The 26,392-nt window shown below is 47.4% G+C and overlaps 1 protein-coding gene and 1 long non-coding RNA gene across 7 annotated transcripts, besides 2 other annotated features; one reads left to right on the top strand and one right to left on the bottom strand.

The window, feature by feature from the left end:
• RAB19 (RAB19, member RAS oncogene family) lies at nt 1-23,917 on the bottom strand. 6 transcript variants are annotated; one of them, NM_001008749.3, is made up of 4 exons: nt 23,758-23,917; nt 20,128-20,351; nt 15,918-16,101; nt 1-2,093 (listed from the first exon to the last, which is right to left on the bottom strand). In NM_001008749.3, exons 2-4 carry the CDS (start codon nt 20,326-20,328, stop codon nt 1,825-1,827), a joined length of 654 nt encoding a protein of 217 aa, NP_001008749.2. In that variant the 5' UTR covers nt 20,329-20,351; nt 23,758-23,917; the 3' UTR covers nt 1-1,824. The 6 variants fall into 6 exon arrangements, with proteins under 6 accessions (NP_001008749.2, XP_005250054.1, XP_005250055.1 ...); XM_005249997.4 differs by having other exon boundaries at nt 20,164-20,351; XM_005249998.4 differs by having other exon boundaries at nt 15,918-16,095; nt 20,164-20,351.
• Nucleotides 23,343-23,842: an enhancer, noted in NCBI's record as "H3K4me1 hESC enhancer chr7:140103933-140104432 (GRCh37/hg19 assembly coordinates)". NCBI's record gives its function as "activates a minimal SCP1, AML or CMV promoter by ChIP-STARR-seq in primed H9 embryonic stem cells {active_cell/tissue: H9 hESC(primed)}" and the evidence as "EXISTENCE:reporter gene assay evidence [ECO:0000049][PMID:30033119]".
• LOC124901759 (uncharacterized) lies at nt 23,507-26,392 on the top strand. Its single transcript, XR_007060561.1, has 2 exons — nt 23,507-23,790; nt 25,153-26,392. It is a non-coding gene; the product is annotated as an uncharacterized LOC124901759 (long non-coding RNA).
• Nucleotides 23,843-24,344: an enhancer, noted in NCBI's record as "H3K4me1 hESC enhancer chr7:140103431-140103932 (GRCh37/hg19 assembly coordinates)". NCBI's record gives its function as "activates a minimal SCP1, AML or CMV promoter by ChIP-STARR-seq in primed H9 embryonic stem cells {active_cell/tissue: H9 hESC(primed)}" and the evidence as "EXISTENCE:reporter gene assay evidence [ECO:0000049][PMID:30033119]".

Raw genomic sequence — 26,392 nt, 5'->3', positions numbered from 1 at the left:
TTGATATTCATCTATGAACCAATTTAATTTTAATTTAAAAATGACTTCTGATCTGGCAGATGATTTGGGTTCTAGAAAGAAATTGTGCCAGGCATGGTGGCTCATGCCTGTAATCCCAGCACTTTGGGAGGCTGAGGTGGGAGAAACCTGTGAGCTCAGGAATTGGAGACCAGCCTGGGCAACGTAGCAAGACTTCATTTCTACAATAATAATAATAAAAAAAGGCCAGGTGCGGTGGTTCACACCTGTAATCCCAGCACTTTGGGAGGCCACGAGACAGGTGGATCATGAGGTCAGGAGTTCGAGACCAGCCTGGCCAACGTGGTGAAACCCTGCCTCTACTAAAAACACAAAAATTAGCTAGGCGTGGTGGCGGGAGGCTGTAATCCCAGCTACTAGGGAGGTTGAGGCAGGAGAATCACTTGAATCTGGAAGGCAGAAGTTGCAGTGAGCCGAGGTCACACCATTGCACTCCAGCCTGGGCAACAAGAGCGAAACTCTGTCTCAAAAAAAAAAAAAAAAGGGCCGGGCATGGTGGCTCATGCCTGTAATCCCAGCACTTTAGGAGGCCGAGACGGGTGGATCATGAGGTCAGGAGTTCAAGACCAGCCTGACCAACGTAGTGAAACCCAGTCTCTACTAAATATACAAAAAAAATGAGCTGGGCGTGGTAGTGAGTGCCAGTAGTCCCAGCTACTTGGGAGGCTGAGGCAGGAGAATTGCTTGAACCCAGGAGGTGGAGGTTGAGGTTGCAGTGAGCCGAGATCATGCCACTGCATTCCAGCCTGAGTGACAGAGTGAGACTCAGTCTCAAAAAAAAAAAAAAAAAAAAAGAACAGGCATGGTGGCTCATGCCTGTAATCCCAGCACTTTGGGAAGCCAAGGTGGGCAGATCACCTGAGCTCAGGAGTTCAAGATCAGCCTGAGCAACATGGTGAAACCTTGTCTCTACAAAAAATACAAAAATTAGCCAGGAGTGGTGGCGTGTGTCTGTAGTCCCAGCCACTTGGGAGACTGAGGTGGGAGAACCTCTTGAACCCAGGAGGTAGAGGTTGCAGTGAGCCAAGATCCCACCACTATACTCCAGCTTGGGTGACAGAGTATGACCCTGTCTCAAAAAAAAAAAAAAAAAAAAGAAAGAAAAAAAATTGCAGGTGTCTTCCCCTATCCCAAGAGGGTGGCCAAGTCAGCCCTGCTAGAATAGAGTGAATTCCAGTTCCATCTCTATCAGACAGTTCCTGACCATTTGGCAAGATGGTACTTCTGGTATTTCTGCTAAAAGGCTTCGCTCCCCAAAGTGAAGACCTGAGGTGTGAATGTCAGGAACAAAATGATAGCAGCATTCTGGTTTCTCATTGCAGGCTTTCGTTCCATTCTCCCTGCCTGAGCTGTTTCAAACTGTTCCAGAATGTTCCAAACAGCCTCTTCTCTCTCTTGCTGTTTTGCCTTCCTCCTTTCCTTCACTACCCTCTTCTTCAAGCAAGAAACAAAATTCAGTAGAAAGCAGCAGAAGCTCTAGGGAGACAGAAAAGTGAAAGGGGAGAAGAGTACACTTCGTCCTCCCTCTCCTAGCCTGAAGTCCTGCCTTCTCCAGGAGTCAAGAGTCAGTGAAAACAATGGTGCTGGTTTTCCTGAGAGTCAGCAGCTATGACCTGTGGTGTGAGTCAAGGGAGAAGTGTGGCCCATCCAGACTGGGAGGATTAGGGGTGAGCGGCAAGTCCACGCTGGGGTCTAAAGCGCCACTGGGGCAACACTACGGTATCCTGGCTACCTTTGGTTTCAGAGGCGGCCTCTTTGGTGGGTGCAACTGGCTTTGCAAACATCTTAGCAAGTGCAGTGGGTCTTTTCACTTGGACCCTGGGCCATAAGAACGGGGCTGGAGTCCAGGGGGAGGCCGTTCAGGGCACTCTCCCCATATAGGTGCAGGCTGTTGCGCGCGATCAGCTCCTTGGCCATGAGCACGAAGACTTCTTCTATGTTCTTTGACTCCTTGGCAGATGTCTCCAAAACGGCCAGGAGGCCGTACTTCTCAGCCAGTGTGCAGGCATCCTCGAACAGGACGTGCCGCTTTTCCCAGAGGTCACATTTATTTCCTGGAAGGAAAAGATAAGCCGATATTCCATTGAGTAACTTAATCTGGTTTCTTTCAAAATGAACTTTACAAGTAACATTTTAGTTCTTCAATAGGCATGCATGCATTCATTCACAAATGGTCATTGAGGGCACATTTTTTTGTTTCTTTTTTTTTTTGAGATGGAGTTTCACTCTTGTCGCCCAGGCTGGAGTGCAATGGCGCAATCTTGGCTCATTGCAACCTCCGTCTCCCAGGTTCAAGCGATTCTCCTGCCTCAGCCTCCCAAGTAGCTGGAATTACAGGCACCTGCCACCACGCCCGGCTAGTTTTGTATTTTTAGTAGAGAAGGTGTTTTGCCATATTGACCAGGCTGGTCTTGTACTCCTGACCTCAGGTGATCGCCTGCTTCGGCCTCCGAAAGTGCTGGGATTATAGGCATGAGCCACTGCACCCGGCCCTTGCTCCTCTTTTTACTCTCTTTTTCTCCCCCTCAAACAGCAGAGTGTTGGATGCTGTGTGAGATGGAGCTCATTTAGCTGAGTAGACTGTGATCAGGATTTGCTGGATTGGAGGTGCATAAGGGAAGACTTTGTTTTGTTTTGTTTTGTTTTGTTTGAGATGGAGTCTCACTCTGTCACCCAGGCTGGAGTGCAGTGGTGCAGTCTTAGCTCACTGCAACCTTTGCCTCCCAGGTTCAAACGATTCTCGTGCCTCAGACTCCCGAGTAGCTGAGATTACAGGCCAATGCCACCACGCCTGGCTAATTTTTGTATTTTTAGTAGAGACAGGGTTTCACCATGTTGACCAGGCTGGTCTTGAACTCCTGGCCTCCAGTGATCTGCCCACCTTGGCCTCCCAAAGTGCTGGGATTGTAAGCATGAACCACCACACCTGGCCTAAAGGACTTTCTGAGAAAGCTATAATTTACATACAATAAAAGTTTGCCTTTGATTTCCCTGAGGCAGGAATCTAAAGATAAAATTACTTTCCCACAGGATTTCTTCTACCAGACATCAAGATTTATTACAAAACTGTAGTAATTAAGACAAGCTAGACTATTGTTTCTCAACCTGGTTTTCATTCCTGTCCCCACAAGAGCCTCTGTAGATATTTTTTTCCATAATTCCCCCTTCTTCCATAAAACATGTTTAAACCTTTTATTTTGAAACAATTATAGATATATGGGAAGTCATTATATATGTATATATAGATATGTGTATATATATATATATATATACACACACATATATACACACACACATATATATATATATATATATAGAGAGAGAGAGAGAGAGAGAGAGAGAGAGAGAGGGAGAGGTCCAGTTTACCCTTCACCCTGTTTCCCCCAATGGTAATATCTTGTATAACTATAGCACATTATCAATACCAGGAAATTGACATTGGTGCTATCCACAGACTTTAATCAGATTTCCTGTCATGAGGCCAGGCTTGGTGGCTCATGCCTGTAATCCCTGCACTTTGGGAAGCCGAGGTGGGTGGATAACCTGAGGTCAGGAGTTCGAGACCAGCCTGGCCAACATGGCGAAACCCCATTTCTACTAAAAATACAAAATTAGCTGGGTGTGGTGGTGCATGCCTGTAGTCCCAGCTACTTGGGAGGCTGAAGCAGGAGAATCACCTGAACCCAGGAGGCAGAGGTTGCAGTGAGCTGAGATCGCACTATTGCACTCCAGCCTGGGTGACAACAGCGAAACGGCATGTCAAAAAAAAAAAAAAATTATCAGCCAGGCACAGTGGCTCACGCCTGCAATCCCTGCACTGTGGGAAGCCGAGGCGGGTGGATCACCTGAGGTCAGGAATTTGAGACCATCCCAGCCAACATGGTGAAACCCCGTCTCTACTAAAAACACAAAAAATTAGCTGGGTATGGTGGCACGCGCCTGTAATCCCAGCTACTCAGGAGGCTGAGGCAGGAGAATCACTTGAACCCGGGAGGCGGAGGTTGCAGTGAACTAAGATTGTGCCACTGCACTCCAGCCTGGGTAACAAGAGTAAAATTCTGTCTTAAAAAAAAAGGAAAAAAAAGTTTCTTGTCATGAAATGAATAAATGTCCCAAGCACTTATTTGTGTGTATGTTTGTAATTATACACAATTTGATCACATGCGTAGATTCCTTCAATCACCACCACAGTCAAAGCACTGAACAGTTCTATTCTCACAAAGCTCTCTTTCATGCTATTCCTTTATAACTCTCACCACCCCCGGTCCTCCGCCCCTGCTAACCACCAATCTATTCTAGTTCCAGAATATTATATAAATGGATTCATATATGTAACCTTTTGAGATTGTCTTTTTTCACTCAGCATAATTCCTCTGAGATCCATTCAAGTTGTTGTATAAATCAGTAGTTTGTTTTCTGTATACCACTAGTAGTTTTTATTGCTGAGTAGTATTCCATAGTATGCATGGACCAACATTTGTGTTTTTTTTTTTTTTGAAATGTAGTCTCTCTCTGTTACCCAGGCTGGAGTACAGTGGCACCATCTTGGCTCACTGCAACCTCTGCCTCCCAGGTTCAAGCAATTCTCCTGCCTCAGTCTCCTGAGTAGCTGGGACTCCAGGCGCATGCCACCATGCCCAGCTAATTTTTGTATTTTTAGTAGAGACAGAGCTTCACCATGTTGGCCAGGCTGGCCTTGAACTCCCGACCTCAGATGATCTGCCCACCTTGGCTTCCCAAAATGTTGGGATTACAGGCGTGAGCCACCACGCCCAGCCAAGGACCAATATTTGTTTAACCATCTACCTTATTTATTTATTTGTTTATTTGAGCAGAGCCTTGCTCTGTCGCCCAGGCTGGAGTGCAGTGGTGCTATCTTGGCTCACTGCAACCTCCGCCTCCCAGTTTCAAGAGATTCTCCCGCTTCAGCTTCTCGAATAACTGGGATTACAGGCATACACCACCATGCCTGGCTAATTTTTGTATTTTTAGTAGAGACAGAGTTTCACCATGTTAGCCAGGCTGGTCTTGAACTCCTGACCTCAAGTGATCCACCCGCCTTGGCCTCCCAAAGTGCTGGGATTACAGGTGTGAGCCACGGTGCCTGGCCTTTATTTATTCATTTTTTTTGAGACAGGGTCTTGTCCTGCCACCTGGGCTGGAGTGCAGTAGCATGATCATAGCTCACTGCAGCGTTAACGTTCTAGGCTCAAGCAGTCAGCCTCTCAAATCACTAGGACTACAGACATGCACCGCCACCCATGGCTAATTTTTTTTTATTTGGTGATGGGGTCTCACTTTGTTGCCCAGGCTGGAGTGCAGTGGAGTGATCTTGGCCTATGAAAATGTAATACCACAGATGTACTGTGTATGGCCCTTTGGAGGGCCATAAACCATTGTAATATTGAGGATATTTTCACTCCCAAGAGCATGAATGGACTAGATCAATGGAGAGGAAAAACAGCTCAGAAACAAACTCATGTATAAATGTGTACTCTACAAAAAGATGGTGCCACAGAGCAGTGGAAAATGTTGCCTTTTTTTTTTGAGACAGCGTCTCACTCTGTTGCCCAGGCTGGAGTACAGTGGCATGATCTTGGCTCACTGCAACCCCCACTTCCCAGGTTCAAGTGATTCTCCTGCCTCCGCCTCCCGAGTAGCTGGGATTACAGGCACCCACCACGACGCCCAGCTAATTTTTGTATTTTTCTAGTAGAGATGGGGTTTTACCATGTTGGCCAGGCTGGTCTTGAACTCCTGACTTTAGGTGATCAGCCCACCTCAGCCTCCCAAAGTGTTGGGATTACAGGCGTGAGCCACTGTGCCTGGCTAAGGTTGCCTTTTTAGTAAATGGTACTGAGACAATTAGATCTTTATACAGAAAAATTTTGGACCCATACCTTTCACCATACACAAAAAATCAATTACAGGTAGATCTAAATGTAAAAGGCAGAGTAATGATAATAATCAATCAATTAAACTTTAAAAGGTAATATAATCTTGATGATTTCAATTAAGAAAAAATTTCCTAAATAGGACACAGGAAGCAATCATTATTAAAGAAAAGATCAATAGATTGAAATATATTAAAATTAAGAGTGTCTGTTCATCACAATACACCATCAAGAGACGAAAAGGCTGGGTATAGTGGTTCATGCCTGTAAACCCAGTGGTTTGGGAAGCCGAGGCAAGAGGATCACTTGAGCCCAGGAATTCAAGACCAGCCTGGGCAATACAGCAAGACCCCATCTCTACAAAACATAATAAAAAACTAGCTGGGGCTGGGCATGGTGGCTCACACCTGTAATCTCAGCACTTTGGGAGGCTGAGGTTGGTGGATCACTTGAGGCCAGGTTCAGACCAGCTTGGCCAACATAGTGAAACTTCATCTTTACTCATAATATAAAAATTAGCTGGGCGTAGTGGCACGTGCCTGTAATCCCAGCTACTTGGGAGGCTGAGGCATGAGAATCGTTGAACCTAGGAGGTGGAGGTTGCAGTGAAGCAAGATTGGGCCACTGTACCCCAGCCTGGGTCACAGATCAAGACTCTGTCTCAAAAAACAAAACAAAACAACCTAACTGGACATGTTGGAATGTGCCTGTCGTCCCAGCTACTTGGAAGATTGAGGCAGGAGGATTGCTTCAGCCCAGGAGTTCGAAGCTGCTGTAAGCTAGGATGGCACTATTGCACTCCAGCCTGGGTGACAGAGTTGGACCCTATCTATAAAAAATAAAACATAAAAGGCCAGGCGTGGTGGCTCATGCCTGTAACCCCAGCACTTTGGGAGGCCAAGGCGGGTGGATCATGAGGTCAGGGGTTCAAGACCAGCCTGACCAACATGGTGAAACCCCGTCTCTATTAAAAATACGAAAATTAGCTGGGTGTGGTGGTGGGCGCCTATAATCCCAGCTACTCAGGAGGCTGAGGCAGGAGAATTGCTTGAACCCGGGAGGTGGAGGTTGCAGTGAGTCAATATCGCGCCACTGCACTCCAACCTGGGCGACAGAGCAAGACTCAGTCTCAAAAAAATAAAAATAAAATAAAAAATAAGAAAACCAAAATATTCCTTCCTTCAGGTATTTTTAAGAAGAGAGAGGGAAAAGTTACTCCACAGGGTGGAAGATGATGTTTGCAACATATGTAACTGACAAAGGGCTGGGGCCTCCTTCAAGAGAACCTAGTGCCCAGAATGCAGGTCACAGACAGCCCAACAGGACCCTAGTGCAGCGCCCTAGTGGGGACAGCACCCCATCCCCCATACCATGAGGGCACTCATGCACATCCATGCTGCAGGATGCAGGATTCGATTCCTCTATCAGGCAACCTTGGCTTTTGAGCACCCCACTGCCTGAAAAATAAACTTTCTTTGAATTGTGCTTAGTCTAAGACTCTTCCTACCTACTAAGCCATCCTTCCTCCGTTCTCTCCTTCCCAGGGGCAGGTCTACATCTCATAGAAGACTCCCTGCCTCCTTCTGCTCCTTCTTCTTCTTCTTTTTTTTTTTTTTTTTTTGATATGGAGTCTCACTCTGTTGCCCAGGCTGGAGTGCAATGGTGCGATCTCAGCTCACTGCAACCTCTGCCTCCTGGGTTCAAGCGATTCTCCTGGCTCAGCCTCTTGAGTAGCTGGGATTACAGGCGCCCACCACCACGCCCAGCTATTTTTTGTATCTTTAGTAGAGACGGGGTTTCGCCATGTTGGCCAGGCTGGTCTCGAACTCCTGACCTCAGGTGATCCACCTGCCTCGGCCTCCCAAAGTGCTGGGATTACAGGCATGAGCCACTGTGCCCAGCCCTGCTCCTTCTTCTTTATCCCTCACAGCTGTTTCTCCCAGTAAATCTCTTGCATGTCTATCTCATCCTGTCCCAACATCTGCTTCCTGGAGGACCCACACTGACACAGACTCATTTTCAGAAGATATAAGCTACTGTTAGGAATTGACAAGAAAAAGATAACAAACAGAAAAATAGGCCTTGGACTTGAAAAGTATTTCACAACAGAGGATATCCGAATAGCTAACAAACACCTGAAAAGGTGTTCAATCTCATTAATAAACAGGGAAATGCAAATGAAAAACACTAGTGATCTCATGACACACTTCTCAGGATGCATGGAAGTAAAAGGACTAATAGCACCAGATGTTGGTGAGGATGTAGAACAACTGAAACCCACACACACTGCTGATGGGAGTACACACTAGAACGACCACTCTGGCAAGTGGTTTGAGATTATCTAGAGCTGCATGACCATGCAATTTTGCTCCTGGGTATTACTCAACAGAGATGTGTGCCCATCGGCATCAATAAACATATACCAGAATGTTCGGAGCAGCAATTTTCCTAGTTGCCCCAAAATAGAAGCAACTCAAATGTCCATTGCCAAGAGAACAGAGAAATACTCTGTAGGGTGTTCTTGCAAAGGAATAGTATACGAATTATACAAAAGAATAGATTACAGCCACATGCAACGATGGATGAAACTGTTAAACAATATTGAGGGAAAGAAACTTAGGCAAAAAGGTATGATTTTGTTTATATATAACGTACAAAACAATAGCAAAACAAGACGAGGCACAGTGGCTCACACCTGTAATCTCAGCACTTTGGGAGGCTGAGGTGGGTGGATCACTTGAGGTGGGGAGTTCAAGACCAGCCTGGCCAACATAGTAAAACGCATCTGTACTAAAAATACAAAAATTAGCTGGGCGTGGTGGCACATGCCTGTAATCCCAGCTACTTGGGAGGCTGAGGCATGAGAATCACTTGAACCTGGGAGGTGGAGTTTGCAGTGAGCTGAGATCACGCCACTGCACTCCAGCCTGGGCAACAGAGTGAGACTCCATCTCAAAAAAAAAAAAAAAACAAACCACAAAACAAACAAACAAAAAACCCACCAAAACAAAACTGCAGTATTTAGGGATGTGGGCTTAGGTAGTAAAATGATTAAAAAAGAAAAAAGCAAAGAAGTGTTTATCATAAAAGCACTTGCCTTTGGGGCAGAAGGAGTGTGGAGTAATAAAGTGAAAGCTGGTGGGGGAGAAGAGTGGGCTGGCAATATTCTTTTTTTTTTTTTTTGAGACAGGGTTTCACTGTGTCACCCAGGCTGTGGTGCAGTGGTGTGATCACAGCTCACTGCAGACTCTACCTCCTGGGCTAAAGCAATCCTCCCAATTCAGCCTCCTGCGTAGCTGGGACTACAGGCGCATGCCATCATACCCAGCTAATTTGTAATTTTTTTGTAGAGATCGGGTCTCCCTATGTTGTTCAGGCTGGTCCGACCTCTGCCTCCCAAATCCCTGTTGGGATTACAGGTGTGAGCCCACACCCAGTCAATATTCTTCTTTTTTTTTTTTTTTAAGAGACAGAGTCTGTCTCTGTCACCCAGGCTGGAGTGCAGTGGCGCAATCTCGGCTCACCGCAACCTCTGCCTCCCGGGTTCAAGCAATTCTCCTGCCTCAGCCTCCCGAGTAGCTGGGACTACATACAGGTGCATACTGCCACGCCCGGCTAATTTTTTTTTTTTTTTTTTTTTTTTTTGTATTTTAGCAGAGACGGGGTTTCACCATGTTGCCCAGGCTGGTCTCCAACTCCTGAGCTCAGGCAATCCACCCGCCTCAGCCTCCCAAAGTGCTAGGACTACAGGTGTGAACCACTGCACCTGGCCAATATTCTCTGTCTTGACCCAGCTGGTGTTTGCTCAGCTGTTCCCTTTGAGATAAATTAATGTGTACTTTTCTTTATATACATTAATATGTCCCAATAAAAAATATTTTGAAAATCTTTTCCCATAGTCACTGTCACCAACCTGCCCAGTGTCAAAGCTGGACTTAGATCATAATGATCCCCAAAGAAGTTTAAATCCAAGACCATTTTCAGCAGACATTAGCACATTTGAGTGCTACAATAGGCTAGGAACGGGGGCCCATGGAGACCAGGCTCTGGCCTCAGGCAGCTGTCAATGCTAACAGGGTCTTTGCAGGTGTGATTAATTTGAGGATCTTGAGATGGGGAGATTATTCTGGACTAGCTGGGCAGGCCCTGAATGCAATCACAAGTAACCTTACAAGGGGGAGGTAGAGGGAGACTTGATCCCACACAGGCAGGAAAAGGTGAGGCACACAGAGCCAAAGATGGCACCAGAAGCCAGAGGAGGCGAGGGACAGTCTCCCCTACAGCGTCCAGAGGGGCACGGCCCTGCTGACACCTCCATTTCAGCCCCGCAGGACTGATTTCAGACTTGTGGCCTCCAGAACAGTGGGTGAACACATCTGTTGTTTTCAGCCCCCAGCTCGTGGCAGTTGGTTACAGCAGCCACAGGAAGCTCGTATAGCATGCACCTTCAAGAGAACCATGCGTGTGTTTTTAGCTGGTGAGCCTGAAGCTCTGGGCTGAGCTCTGCTTCTAGAAGAAAGGAATGACAGTCCCTGGTGGAAGAAGGGATGTGGTGGGAAAAGGAACCCCTGCAGCCAGGAATCTGATCTACTCCCTGCATCCCACTCCATCTGTGGATTTGATTTTTTTTTTTTTTTTAAGAGATAGGGTCTCCATCTGTTACCTAGGCTGGAGCACAGTGGCTCAGTCATAGCTCACTGCAGCCTTGAACTCCTAGCCTCAAGCAATGTGCCCACCTCAGTCTCCAGAGTAGCTGAGACTATAGGCGTACACCACTGAGTCCAGCTAATTTTTTTTTTTTTTTTTGAGACAGAGTCTCGCTCTGTCACCCAGGCTGGAGTGCAGTGGTGCGATCTCGGCTCACTGCAGCCTCTGCCTCCTAGGTTCAAGTGATTCTTGTGCCTCAGCCTCCCAAGTAGCTGGGACTATAGGCACTCACCACCACACCTGGCTGATTTTTTTTTTTTTTTGTATTTTTAGTAGAGATGGGGTTTCACCATGTTGGCCAGGCTGGTCTCAAACTCCTGACCTCAAGTGATCCACCTGCCTCGGCCTCCCAAAGTGCTGGGATTACAGGTGTGAGTCACCGCACCCGGCTTAATTTTTTATTTTTTGTAGAGACGGAGGTCTCACTATGTTGCCTGGGCTGATCTCAAGCTCCTGGCATCAAGCAATCTTCCCACCTCAACTTCCCAAAGTGCTGGGATTTATAGGTGTGAGCCACGGCGCCCAGCTGGATTCTAACTTTTATGACCTGCTCCTTCCACCTGCTCCTCCACCACAACTAGATCAACAGTGCTGATGTCCACGGGTCCACCCGCCAACAGCCAGGGCTGCACACTCTGGGGTGAGCCAGGTGCCTGGAGGAAGGGAAAGGATCTGAAGTTTGCTAAGTGCACAGTGACAGACGGCCCTGCCCCAAGGAAGGGCTTCTTCATTTTGTTAGGGAGGCAAGACAGACACACAGAACATTAAATGGCCAGACAAGAATGTACCAATCCAAGACAGCAATAAAATAACATATGCTATGGACCCGGTGAGCTGCATGAGTTGTTTGTAGTACTGGTATACAACCCCCAAATCCCCTAAACTCTGAAACTCCACTCCTGGGCAGCTGTAACCAGTGCATTTCTTGATAATTCATTTGACAGTAAAATCTGAGCTAAACTAGCTATTTGAAGTTTTTTTTTGTTTGATTGATTGATTGATTTTTTAGACAGAGTTTTGTTCTTGTTGCTCAGGCTGGAGTGCAATGGTGTGATCTTGGCTCACTGCAACATCCACCTCCTGGGTTCAAGCGACTCTCCCGCCTCAGCCTTCTGAGTAGCTGGGATTACAGGTGCCCACCACAAAGCCCAGCTAGTAGAGACGGGGTTTCTCCATGTTGGTCAGGCTGGTCTCGAATTCCCGACCTCAGGTGATCTGCCCGCCTTGGCCTCCCAAAGTGCTAGGATTACAGACGTGAGCCACTGCACCCGGCTGTTTGTTTTAAAAATAAAAATAAAGATGGGGTCTTGCTATGTTGCCCAGGCTGATGTTGAACTCCTGGCCTTAAGCAACCCCCCACCTCAGCCTCCCAAACTACTGGGATTACTGACGTGAGCCACCACACCTGGCTTGAATAATTTTTTTTTTTTGAGACAGAGTCTTGCTCTGTCACCCAGGTTGGAGTGCACTGGTGTGATCTCAGCTCACTGCAACCTCCGCCTCCCGGGTTCAAGCAAGTCTCCTGCCTCAGCCTCCTGAGTAGCTGGGACTCCAGGCGTGCACCACCACATCTGGCTAATTTTTGTATTTTTATTACAAAATAATCCGCCCGCCTTGGCCTCCCAAAGTGCTGAGATTACAGTCATGAGCCACCATGCCCAGCATTGAAGATTTTATTCAACCTGCTCTGTATGACTATTTACACATCTGACTGCATAAATAGTAATGTATTTGGCCATGCGGCATTGGCCCAGACCCTGCTGAGGGTGTTATGTAACACAGAGTACATTTTTCTAAAATCTGACAAATTCTGAACTCTGAAATATTTGGCCCTGAGGGTTTTTGTTGAGTGATTGTGGACCTGTAATATAACAGGACTTTAAGTGGAAAGTTTGGCTGAGATCTTTAGAGGGACAAATATCAGATGTTGAAGAAAGTTATGAGACAGAGCATCCAGGATAACCTACAAAAAAGGTTGGCTCCCTGCAATCCCAGCACTTTGGGAGGCGAGGTGTGTGGATCACTTGAGGTCAGGAGTTTGAGACCAGTCTGGCCAACATGGTGAAACCCTGTCTCTACTAAAAACACAAAAATTAGCTGGGCGTGATGGCAGGTGCCTGTAATCCCAGCTGCTTGGGAGGCTGAGACAGGAGAATCACTTGAACCCGGGTGGTGGAGGTTGCAGTGAGCCGAGATTGCACTACTGCACTCCAGCCTGGGCGACAGAGCAAGACCCTGTCTCAAAAAAAAAAAGAAAAGAAAAGAAAAGAAAAAAAAAGAGGTCAGGTCTGATGGAGTGAGGGTAGGAGAAAGATGGGAAGCCAGACACCCCCAGAAGAAAGCAGGGCTGGGACCTGAAGTACCTTGTGAACCATGTTCAGGAATATGTACATCATTCTAAGGGAAATGGGGGCCTCTGAGGGTTTTACATGGGGACATTAGGAGGAGCTGGGCCCCCTGTAGCCAGCTAGAGGAGGAACAGCTGTATAAATCAACATGCAATCAACCCCTGACACCGGGGTCATTCCTGTGCTGATAAAGTGGCTTCAAGGAGCTGGGGATAAACTTCTGAGACAGAAAGAAGCACGTGTATGAGGCAATGTGTGCCGGGACACTTCCGTGAGGGACAACACGAATTTTTCTGGATTCAGGCAGGGAGGCCACGAACAGAAAACAGGAAGGCTGCTGTGTCAGCCCTCTGGCATGGACACCTTATAAACTGGGAGACTAGGACACTCCAAATCATCTTTGGGGGCATTTCTAGAACCAAGGAAGAAGTGAGGCAGAGATGCTTGTTATGAAAGACAGACTAGGGTATAAATACCAAGCAAACATTCTGAGATTCCTGGAAATCCTGCAACATCCTGGCATCTGTCACCCTTCTCTGATGCATCTGTTTCACAGAGTGATTAAAGACGGAGCTGGCTGGGGGAGAGGCAGCTGGGATCCTGTGGGCTGGAGACAGGTCGCTGCCTTCAGAGATAGCACAGAGGGGCCGGGGGTGGTGGCTCATGCCTGTAATCCCAGCACTTTGGGAGGCTGAGGTAGGCAGATCATCTGAGGTCGGGAGTTCGAGATCAGCCTGGCCAACATGGTGAAATCCTGTCTCTACTAAAATAAAAATTAGCTGAGTGTGGTGGCGGGAGCCTGTAATCCCAGCTACTTGGGAGGCTGAGGCAGGAGAATTGCTTGAACCCGAGAGGCAGAGATTGCAGTGAGTCGAGGTCATGCCACTGCACTCCAGCCTAGGCAACAGAGTAAGACTCCGTCTCAAAAAAAGAGAGAAGGTAGCACAGAGGGAGGCATCTGAGGTTGGGCAGCTTCCCACTCAGCCCTGAGGAAGAACTGCCTCCACTGTGTCCTCGAGATGCATGACCTTAATACAAAGGTGGATCTGGTCCACATTCCTGGGGAAACCGCATGTAGCTTAGAACTGCTTCATTCCCAAGTGAGATGCGTGCATTCCGCCTTTCTCTGGGAGCCACCATTGCTGGGTTTCCTTTTGTCCCTGGAGGGCATGGGCTGCATCTACCTGTCCACCCCGGCCGTTTGTATGCCATGGCACAGCTCTCCCATCTTTGCTCTACTAGGACATAACAGTTGCCTTTTATTATTTATTTATTTATTTTTTAAGAGACCAGGTTTTGCTTTCTCACCCAGGCTGGAATGCAGTGGTATGATCACAGCTCACTGCAGCCTCAAATTCCCAGGCTCAAGTGATTCCCCCCACCCCAACCTCTCAAGTAGCTGGGACTATAGGCCTGTGCCACCACATCTCACTATTTTGTTTTGTTTTAGTTTTTGTAGAGATGAAGTCTCACTATGTTGACCAGGATGGTCTCAAGCTATCCTCCCGCCTCAGCTTCCCAAAGTGCTGGGATTACAGGCATGAACCACCGTGCCTGGCCCAAAGACATTCATCACAGAAATAGAAAAGATTATCCTAAAATTTATATGGAACCATGAAAGACTCAGAATAGTCAAAGCTACCCTGAGCAAAAAGAACCAACCTAGAGGAATCACATTGCCTGACTTCAAATTATACTACAGAACTATGGTAACCAAAACAGTGTGGTACTGATAAAAACAGACACATAGACCAATGGAACAGAATCCAGAATCCAGAAATAAATCTATACATCTACAGTAAAGTCATTTTCGACAAAGGTGCTAAGAACATATGTTGGCGAAAGGACAGTCTCTTCAATAAGTGGTGCTGGGAAAACTGGATACCCATATGGAGTGCAATGGTATAGTCTCAGCTTACTGTAACCTCTGCCTGCTGGGCTCAAGCAATCCTCCCACCTCAGCCTCCTGAGTAGCTGGGACTGCAGGTGTGCACCACCACGCTCAGCTAATTTTTTTTATTTTTTGTAGAGATGAGGTTTTGCCATGTTGCTTAGGCTGGTCTTGAAACCCTGGGCTCAAGCAATTTACCTGCCTCGCCCTCCAAAGTGCTGGGATTACAGGCATGAACCACCACGCCCCATCTATGTTTATGTATTTTAATGTAAATTATTGGTAAACACTTAGAAATTGCCTCTTCTTTCTTTTTAAGAACCCACTGTACCCAATAAATAGATATACCTACTAGATACCCATAAAAAATTAAAAAACAAAACTCACCTGTTCACTCTGCAGTAGAGATGTCAAAAATAAAAATAAAGGGCCAGGCACAATGGCTCATGCCTGTAATCCCAGCACTTTGGGAGGGCCAGGCAGGGGGATCACTTCAGCCCAGGAGTTCGAGACCAGCCTGGGCAACATGGCAAAACCCCGTCTTTACAAAAAATTAAAAAAAAAAAAATGGGCTGGGCATGGTGGCATCCAGCTTAAAGGCACTTTCTGAGGCCCTATCCATCACTTACACATTTTTTTTCCCCCCGACGGAGTGTTGCTCTGTCACCCGGGCTGGAGTGCAATGGCACAATCTCGGCTCACTGCAACCTCTGCCTCCTGGGTTCAAGCGATTCTCCTGCCTCAGCCTCCCGAGTAGCTGGGACTACAGGCGCCCACCACTACGCCTGTCTAATTTTTTTGTATTTTTAGTAGAGACGGGGTTTCACCGTGTCAGCCAGGATGGTCTGGATCTCCTGACCTCGTGATCCGCCCGCCCCAGCCTCCCAAAGTGCTGGGATTACAGGTGTGAGCCACTGTGCCCGGCTGCATCACTTACACTTTTAAGATTTCATTTTCCACTGTCATTAGAAACATGCAGAAAGCTGAGCATCCTCAGAGGAGAGTAAACAAAAGTTAAAAACTTCAAAAATGCCATACCAATCAGCATAATGACCACATTTGCAGCTCCATATTTCTCTATCTCATGAATCCAGTGAGGGATGGACTCGAACGTGGACCGCCGGGTGAGGTCATAGGCGATGATGGCTGCGTGGGCACTGCGGTAGTAGCTTTGGGTGATGGTGCGGAAGCGCTCCTGGCCAGCTGTGTCCCACACCTGCATCTGGAGAAGGACAGGAAGGAGAGTCCAAATCAGGGGTTCCCACAGGTAATGGGAACTCCTTCACCTACATCTTCTTAAAAACACAGTTTTCTGGGTCTCACTTCTAGATATTCAGACCCAGTAGATCTGGGGTGGGACCCAGGGATCTATTCTTTCAGTTGCTCCCTGGATGACTTGGATATCCTCCTTGGTTGGGGAACGACCATCTAAGACAAGCTTGTCCAACCCGCAACCCACGGGACACATTTGGCCCAGGACAACTTTGAATGCAGCCCAACACAAATTTTCAAACTTTCTTAAAATATTATGAGTTTTTCTGCATTTTTTTTTTTTTTAGCTCATCAGGTATCATTAGTGTTAGTGTAATTTGTGTGGCCCAAGACAATTCTTCTTCCAACATGGCCCAGGGAAACCAGAAGCTTGGACAGCCGATTTAAGGGATGCTGCTGTCAGAGAGATGGACCTATTTTTTTTGAGATGGAGTCTCGCTCTGTCGCCCAGGCTGGCGTGCAGTGGCGCCATCTCAGCTTACTGCAAGCTCCGCCTCCCAGGTTCACACCATTCTCCTGCCTCAGCCTCCCGAGTGGCTGGGACTACAGGCGCCCGCCACCATGCCCAGCTAATTTTTTTGTATTTTTAGTAGAGACGGGGTTTCACCGTGTTAGCCAGGATGGTCTCGATCTCCTGACCTTGTGATCTGCTGGCCTCGGCCTCCCAAAGTGCTGAGATTACAGGCGTGAGCCACTGCGCCCGGCCGAGAGGTGGGCCTATTTTATCCTGGGGTCTTGTGTTCTTTGCCTTTTCTCCTGACTCATCACTTGGTCCAGATTTGGGGGCTCATCTTTTGAGTCTGCCCGTGGATCTGAATACTGGCAAAGGTGATAATACTGGCCGAACTGTTCTGATTTTAAAGGAACACTCAAGCTGTTCATGTTTGGAATGTTCTCACAATAATACCTCCCAAATTAGCCACCCAAGCGGCAGCACCAATTCACACAGCCTCTCACAGTGTCTGAGGGTAGCAATTTCTTCATATTCTCATACTATTTATATAAAATTTATTTTTTAGAGAAAGTTTGCAAACATACACCAAAGCTAGAGATAATAGAAAAATGAGGCTGGGTGCAGTGGCTCATGCCTGTGATCCCAGCACTTTGGGAGGCTGAGGTGGCGGATCGCTTAAGCTCAGGGGTTTGAGACCAGCCTGGGCAATGTGGTGAAACCCCATCTGTACGAAAAATACAAAAAGGCCGGGCGCGGTGGCTCACGCCTGTAATCCCAGCACTTTGGGAGGCCGAGGCGGGTGGATCATGAGGTCAGGAGATCGAGACCATCCTGGCTAACAAGGTGAAACCCCGTCTCTACTAAAAATACAAAAAATTAGCCGGGCGCCGTGGCGGGCGCCTGTAGTCCCAGCTACTCGGGAGGCTGAGGCAGGAGAATGGCGTGAACCCGGGAAGCGGAGCTTACAGTGAGCCGAGATTGCGCCACTGCAGTCCGCAGTTCGGCCTGGGTGACAGGGCGAGACTCCGTCTCAAAAAAAAAAAAAAAAAAAAAAAAGAAAAATACAAAAATTAGCTGGGCATGGTGGCGCATGCCTGTAGTCCCAGCTACTTGGGAGACTGAGGCAGGAGGATTCCTTGAGCACAGGAAGTCGAGGCTATAGCGAGCTGAGATCATGCGCCACTGCCCTCCATCTGGGCAACAAAGTGAGACCCTGTCTCAAAAACATAAAAAAAGAACCTCATACACCTATCACCCAGATTCAATAATTAATGAGATTTTGTTACTTGCTTCATCTAGCCCTTTCTGTTGATTTCTTTGAAGTATTTTTTAATTTTTTAAATTTTTATTTATTATCTTTTTTTTTTTTTTTTTTTTGAGACGGAGTCTCGCTCTGTTGCCCAGGCTGGAGTGCAGTGGTATGATCTCGGCTCAGTGCAAGCTCCGCCTCCCGGGTTCACGCCATTCTCCTGCCTCAGCCTCCCAAGTAGCTGGGACTACAGGCACCCGCCACCAGGCCCGGCTGATTTTTTGTATTTTTAGTAGAGACGGGGTTTCACCGTGTTAGCCAGGATGGTCTCAATCTCCTGACCTCGTAATCCACCCACCTCGGCCTCCCAAAGTGCTGGGATTACAGGCGTGAGCCACCACGCCCAGCCTATTTTATCTTTTTGAGACAGAGTCTTGCTCTGACTCCCAGGCTGGAGTGCAATGGTGTGATCTCAGCTCACTGCAACCTCTGCCTCCTGGGTTCAAGTAATTTTCATGCCTCAAGCCTCCTGACCAGCTGGGATTACAGGCATGTGCCACCACGCCCGGTTAATTTTTTTGTATTTTTAGTAGAGATGGGGTTTCCCCCCGTTGGCCAGGCTGGTCTTGAACTCCTGACCTTGGGTGATCCGCCTGCCTCGGCCTCCAAAAGTGCTGGGATTACAGGCATGAGCCACCGTGCCTGGCAGTTTATGGCATTTTTGAGTACACAGAAAATTTGACCTCTTTCTTTTTTTGAGACAGAGTCTCACTCTGTCGCCTAGGCTGGAGTGCAGTGATATGATCTCGGCTCACTGTAACCTCTGCCTCCCAGGTTTGAGAGATTCTTGTACCTCAGCCTCCCAAGTAACTGGGACTACAGGCACGCGCCACCATGCCTGGATAATTTTTGTATTTTTAGTAGAGACAGGGTTTCACCATGTTGGCCAGGCTGGTCTTGAACTTCTGACCTCAAGTCATCCACCCGCCTCGGCCTCCCGAAGTGCTGGGATTACAGGTGTGAGCCACCTTGCCTGGCCACTAGAAAATTTGACCTTTTAAGGCCAGGTTTGGTGGCTCACGCCTGTAATCCCGGCACTTTGGGAGGGTGAAGTGGGAGGATTGTTTGAGCCCAGGAGTTTGAGACTGGCCTGAGCAACACAGGAAAATCCTGTCTCTACAACAAATTTAAAAAAGGAGTTGGGCATGGTGGGGTGCACCTGTGGTCCCAGCTATTCAGGAGGCTGAGGTGAGAGGATCGCTTGAGTCGGGGAGATGGAGGCTGGAGTGAGCTGTGATTGTGCCACTGCACTTCAGCCTGAGTGACAGAGCAAGACCCTGTCTCAGGCTGGGTGTGGTGGTTCACATCTGTAATCCCAGCACTTTGGGAGGTAGAGGTGGGCGGATCACTTGAGGTCAGGAGTTCGAGACCAGTCTGGCCAACATAGTGAAACCCTATCTCTACTAAAAATACAAAACTTAGCCCGGTGTGGTGGTGTGCACCTGTAAATCCAGCTACTTGGAATGCTGAGGCATGAGAATTGCTTGAGCCCAGGAGGCAGAGATTGCAGTGAGCTGAAACTGTGCTCCTGCACTCCAGCCTGGGTGATGGAGTGAGACTCTGCCTCAAGAAAACAAAAACAAAAACAAAAAGCCCTGTCTACACTCCCCCACCCCCCCAAAAAAGCAAATTTGACCTTTATATAGTTAGAGAAATGTATAAATTTGACCTTCACAGTTAGATTCAGCAGTATTTTCCTTATTGGCTTCTGGGTTCGTGTCTCATTTAAAGCCTGATTTTCCCATTCCATGATGAGAAAATAAATACTCCCATGTTTTCTTCCACTATTTGTATGATTTCATGTTTTGTACTGAAATCTTTTATTGCTCAGACATGTGCTTTGTTGTTGGGAATTCTGGCTAAAAAAGGTGGAACTGGCCAGGCGCGGTGGCTCACACCTGTAACCCAGCACTCTGGGAGGCCGAGGTGGGTGGATCATGAGGTCAGGAGATAGAAACCATCCTGGTAACACCATGAAACCCCATCTCTACTAAAAATACATAAAAAAAAAAAAAATTTGCCGGGCGTGGTGGCGGGCGCCTGTAGTTCCTGTTACTTGGGAGGCTGAGGCTGGAGGCTGAGGCAGGAGAATGGCATGAACCCGGGAGGCGGAGCTTGCAGTGAGCCGAGATCGCGCGAGACTCCGTCTCAAGGAAAAAAAAAAAAAAAAAAAAAAAAAAGGTGGAACCAGTCCCGTCCCGGTGCCCTCTGACCTTCACTTTTTTGCCGTCAATATCAAGGGAACGCACGGTAAAGTCCACTCCAATCGTGTTCTGCTGTGTCTCAGTGTAGACTCCAGACTTGAAATGCTGCACCACACACGTCTTCCCCACATTGGAATCCCCAATGAGGATAATCTTGAACAAATAGTCAAAGTTCTCATCTGCTGCCCTGGCTGAGCTGGAGAAGTGCATGGTTCTTGCCACCTAGAACAGAACTAGGAAGAAAGGATGGAATTCAGCACCAGGAACTGGGGATCCAGTACAAGACAAGACGAAGGGAGGTCATTACCTTCACAGTGCTACATCCTTGTGAGAGGACGATGCTAATGATGCTAGTCGGGCACAGAGGAGTTGTCCCCATAAGCTGACATCTGCCCTACGTGTGTTGATCTTACTTTAGGGGTGCTCTTGGAATAAAGAGGTTCTACTGCCATTCTCTGGTGGGTCCAGTGGACGGTCAACACCATCAGATAAAAGCAGTGATATATCCTAGGCCTGGAGACGAGGTGCCACATGCTCCATCAGAGTGCCCGGAGAGCAGGAGAATGGCAGAGGAAATGCCCACAGCAGTGACTCACCTGCCATTGGAGGTCCCACTAGTGTCAATTTCACCTGGGGAGAAAGATTCCCAACTGCTGTAAGACTGACCATCCAGGCCGTGCACGATGGCTCATGCCTGTAATCCCAGCTCTTCGGAAGGCCAAGGTGGGTGGATCACCTGAGGTTGGGAGTTTGAGACCAGCCTGACCAACGTGGAGAAACCCCATCTCTACTAAAAATACAAAGTTAGCTGGGTGTGGTGGCGCATGCCTATAATCTCAGCTATTCGGGAGGCTGAGGCCAGAGAATCACTTGAATCCGGGAGGCGGAAGTTGCAGTGATCCGAGATCATGCCTTTGCACTCCAGCCTGGGCAACAAGAGCGAAACTCCACCTCAAAAAAAAAACACCCAAAAAACAAAAAACTACTGACCATCCAGGTAGCTAGCAACGAGGACTGATAAGAGGTGATTGGTAAGTCAGCTTGGGGAAGAGTGACATGACCTTTTTGTTCTGTTTGGAGCCTAATTTTTTTGACCAGGAAATTAGGATTTTGAGAATATTCAAAATTAAAACCATGGCTATAATGTTATGGCATATTTTACCAAAGGCTGGTTATGGCATATTTTACCAAAGGTTTTTTTTTTTCTTTTTTTTTTGAGACAAAGAGTCTCGCTGTGTCGCCCAGGCTGGAGTGCAATGGCATGATCTCAGCTCACTGCAACCTCTGCCTTCCAGTTCAAACGATTCTCCTGCCTCAGCCTCCCGAGTAGCTGGGACTATAGACCTGCACTACCACACCCAGGTAATTTTTGTATTTTTAGTAGAGACGGGGTTTCACCATGTTGGTCAGGCTGGTCTCGAATGCCTGACCTCAAGTGATTTACCTGCCTCAGTCTCCCAAAGTGCTGGGATTACAGGCCTGAGCCATCACGCGCCGCCAGAAAATTAAGGTTTCTAATGACAGTGTTTCACAAACTAACTGATTATCAGAATTATCTGAGAGTATCATTGAAAAATATATATTTCCTTTTTTTTTTTTTTTTTTTTTGAGACAGAGTTTCACTCTTCTTGCCCAGGCTGGAATGCAATGGTGTGGTCTTGGCTCACTGCACTGCAACCTCCGCCTCCTGGGTTCAAGCGATTCTCTTGCCTCAGCCTCCCAAGTAGCTGGGATTACAGGTGCCTGCCACCACGCCTGGCTAATTTTTGTATTTTTAGTCGATACAGGGTTTTGCCATGTTGGCCAGGCTGGTTAGGAACTCTTGACCTCAGGTGATCTGCCCGCCTTGACCTCCCAAAGTGTTGGGATTACAGGCATGAGCCACCATGCCCGGCTGGAAAATAAAGGTTTTTAATGACAGTGTTTCACAAACTAACTGATTATCAGAATTATCTGGGAATATCATTGAAAAAATATATTTTTGGAGCTCATCCCAGACTTGCTAAACATATTTTACCTTGTTCTTTTAAAAATTATTTCTTAGTATTCTTTTTTTTTTTTTTTTTTTGAGACAGAGTCTCGCTCTGTCACCGAGGCTGGAGTGCAGTGGTATGATCTCAAAACTGCACTGGGCCAGGTTTTGTGTTTTGTGTTTTTAACTTTAAAATATGTTTAGTGCGCCAGGCCGCAGTCGCTCATGCCTGTAATCCTAGCACTTTGGCAGGCCGAGGCAGAAGGATCACTTGACGCCAGGAGGTTGAAAGTAGTCTAGGCAATATAATGAGAGCCCTGCGCCCCCCCTCCCCGCCCATCTCTATTAAAATAATAAGAAATAGGCCAGGGGCAGTGGCTCACACCTGTAATCCAAGCAATTTGGGAGGCTGAGGCAGGCGGATCACTTGAGGTCAGGAGTTCAAGATCAGCTTGGCCAACATGGTGAAACCCCATCTCTACTAAAAATACAAAAAATTAGCCGGGCGTGGTGGCATGCACCTGTAATCCCAGCTACTTGGGAGGCTAAGGCAGGAGAATGGCTTGAACCCAGAGGGCAGAGGTTGCAGTGAGCCGAGATCGCACCATTGCAGTCCAGCCTGGGCAACAAGAGCGAAACTCCGTTTCAAAAAACAAACAAACAAACAAACAAAAACACAAAACCAAAAACCTCTGTCTCTCTTCCCTCCCCTCCCCTCCCCTCTTGCTCTGTCTCTTCCCCAGGTGATTCTGATGATGAGCCAGGTTTGGAAAACACCAATCGACCAAGTCACCTACCTGAAACTTACTCCCACCATCAGCATCCCTGGCTTAAATGTCCACCTATGCTTAAATATCTCTGATCACAAGGAACTGACTACCTCCTGAAAAATTTCCATTTTGCACTGGGCAGCTCTCACTTCTGTGGGATTGACACCTCCCTCCATGAGGTTTCCATCTGTCTAGCTCCGTGCTATCCTTACTCTGCCAAGACACATCACATTCCTGTTCCACATGACAGCCCATCAGATATTTGAAGCAGCAAGAATATTCCCCCAAGGAGAATATCCCCATCCTCTTTAACTGTTCTTCCTGAGAGTGTGTTCGGACTCCTCATCCAATTGCTCTAAAAGTAACTGAAACCTGATCCCACTTAATGATTACATTTGATGTGCTGCAAATTGCCCCTGCCTTGTGACATCCTTCTTCACCTCTCCGTTTTACTTTGGTTTTCTCTAAAGTCATAGACAAGGACACTCTGTCTCATCACACAAGGTAAAATGCACTCAAATGTCCAATCTGCATGCAAAAACCCAGGGCTTTAAGGCGATGAAGAAGGATCCCATACCTCTCTTGGACCTCTCTGAAATCACATATGGGTAGATGATCCAGCAGACAACAGACACAATCAAACCACTTTTTTCCTGTCTGACTTTTCAACTAAAGACAGCCATTCCACTTCCGGTGTCTTGGTCTTATCACTGTAACTTGAGCTGAGACTTTACTTCCATGTCTCCCCCCACCCTCAGGAGTCCTCAGGGTTTCCACTAAAGCCCCCTTTCATTGAGCCTACAAGCCTTGCTGGGAGGCACAGGCAGCGTCCACCCCGATGATGTCCTCCCGCCGGCATCCCGCAGCCTTCGCCTTCCTGGTTCACCTGTCGCTTACCTGTCTCGCTCTCTCACCTCTGCTGGTCAGCAGGTAATGTTTTCGCTTTCTTCTGGGTTTGCTTTTCAGCCCCCCAGTGCCCCCTTCTTCCTCCTGCCTCGCTGCTTGGTGGGAAGTGTAGTTCTGGCCCCAGGTGTCGGGTTTGGCGTCCTGAGAAAGTGAAAGGAAAGTGCAATCCCTCCCACCTGCCCTGAGTCCGGAGCTGCCTCAGGGTACAAAGCGCCAGGTGAGGGCGGCCAGCACAGGGCAGGGCGCAGAGCCGGCTTTCTCACCAGCCTTCGCCGGCCTAGCGGAAAGCCCTCACAGGAAGGAACAGCCAGTGAATTAAACCAGTGCTGGCCCATACGACACTGCCCCTGCTCCTTTCTTCTACTTTACCTTGTCTTGTGGGCTTTTGCGTCCTTTGCTCTCAATTTGTCCTGGTGTCCCTTGTTAGGAAACAATTTCAGAATGTATCTCATGTAGTAACAGCGACTGTTTTGCAAAATGTTTGGGTCAGTTGTACATGTGCATATTGTACTGGGTGATGTAAAAAAAAAATTTTTTTTTTTTTTTTGGAGACAAGGTCTCACTCTGTCACCCAGGCTGAAGTGCAGTGGCACCATTCATGGCTCACTGCAGCCTCAACCTCCCGGGCTCAAGCAATCCACCTGCCTCAGCCTCCTGAATATCTGGGACTACAGCTGGCCTGAGGGTTGTTAGTTGAGATAACACCAACTAAAGGAGGATATAGATCTTAAGTAATTTATTTTATTATATATACATATTTTTTAGAGACAGGGTCTTGCTCTATGGCTCAGGCTGGAGTGCAGAGGCATAATTATGGCTCACTGCAGCCACAACATCCCAGGCTCAAGGAAGCCTCCCACTTCAGCCTCCCAAGTAGCTGGGACTACAGTCATACACCACCATGCCCCACTATTTATTGTTTTTAGAGCTGGGATCTCCCTATGTTGCCCATGGTGGTTTGACACTCCTGGGTTTGGCCAGGCATGGTGGCTCATGCCTGTGATCCCAGCACTTTGGGAGGCTGAGGTGGGCAGATCACCTGAGGTCAGGAGTTCGAGACCAGCCTGGCCAACATGGCAAAACCCCATCTCTACTAAAAATACAAAAATTACCCGGGTCTGGTGGTGAGCCTATAATCCCAGCTACTCTGGCAGGAGAATCGCTTGAGCCTGCGAGGTGGAGGTTGCAGTGAGCCAAGGTCGCGCCACTGCACTCCAGCCTGGGTGACAGAGTGAGACTCCGTCTCAAAAAAAAAAAGAAAAAAAGAGAAGAAACTCCTGGGCTCAAGTGATCCTCCTGCCTTGGCTTCCCGAAGTGCTGGGATTACAAGGCATGAAACCACCGTACCTGGCCAGATTGTAAGTAATTTAAGTCTTTGTTTTGTAGATCTGAATATCTCTTTGTGAGGAGTCAGAGAAAGGAGATGATGCAAAGAGAAGGAAGCAAAAACAAAACTAAAAGAACTTTGAAGGTATATGAGAAGAAAAAGCTGAAAAGAAAATGTCTGCCTCACTCCCTCAAAAATTCTACCATAGAGCAAAGGTTGACGTCCAGAAAACCTCAAGTTTATCAGTCCCAGATGCTGGCAGTAGAAGCATAAAGCTGAGGTGAATTTTCCTTACTATTTTTTCCCCAGAGTCTAGAACAGTAACTGCCTCCCAATGTCTATCACAGGGACCAGATTTTCTCCACTACATAGGATGTGATATGTAGGCAGTTAAATGGCATTATAGACACAATAAGCAAAATTGAAACAGAGACACCCTGTTGGATAAAATATTTACATCGGTGTCCTGTTTCCAAACTGTGGGCTGAGACCTATAAATGAGTCATGAAATCAACCTTTGTGGGTTGCAACCAGCATTTTCACAAGAAGGGATTAAGAAACAACTTCAGAATGTATCTTGTGTAGTAACAGTGACTACTGTTTTGCAAAATGTTTGGGTCAGTTGTACACATGCATATTTTACAGGGTGATGTAAAAAAAAAATGTTTTTTTTGAGACAGGGTCTCACTTTGTCTCCCAGGCTGAAGTGCAGTGGCACCGTCATGGCTCACTGCGGCCTCAACCTCCTGGGCTCAAGCAATCTTCCTGCCTTAGCCTCCTGTATATCTGGGACTACAGGTGTGCACCATCATGCCCAGCTATTTATTTCATTTTTTTGTAGAGCCAGGGCCTCACTTTGTTACCCAGACTGGTCTCGAACTCCTGGGATCAAGCAATCCTCCCACATCAGCCTCCCAAGGTGCTGGGATAACAGGCGTGGGCCACCGTGCCTGGCCTGAAATGTCTTTTTAACTGTAGGCTGGGGTCCGCAACGTTTGAGAAGCACTGAAATACAGGGCAATTTATTCACTGTCCAAGAACATTACTTCTATGATGTCTTCAGATAAATTTGAAAATATTTGTCTTACCCAAAATTCCAGTTACATATCCATTTTCAGGATACTCTCTTCTGAGTGAGATAAACTCAACACTGGCAGGTATAGCAAGAAAACAAAAGACTCTGCCAAATATTGCTGCAGGGTGAGAACCACCAGCACAATGTGGAAATCCAGTGTAGGTAAAGATTCGCCCCAAATGTGTGATCAGGAAATAAAACCTGTTAGGTGTCAGTGTCATGAA

This window comes from Homo sapiens, chromosome 7 (genome assembly GCF_000001405.40).
Source record: "Homo sapiens chromosome 7, GRCh38.p14 Primary Assembly".
Lineage (NCBI taxonomy): Eukaryota > Metazoa > Chordata > Mammalia > Primates > Hominidae > Homo > Homo sapiens.
Note: the sequence above shows the minus strand (reverse complement) of the source record. Positions and strands in the feature narration are given on the sequence as shown.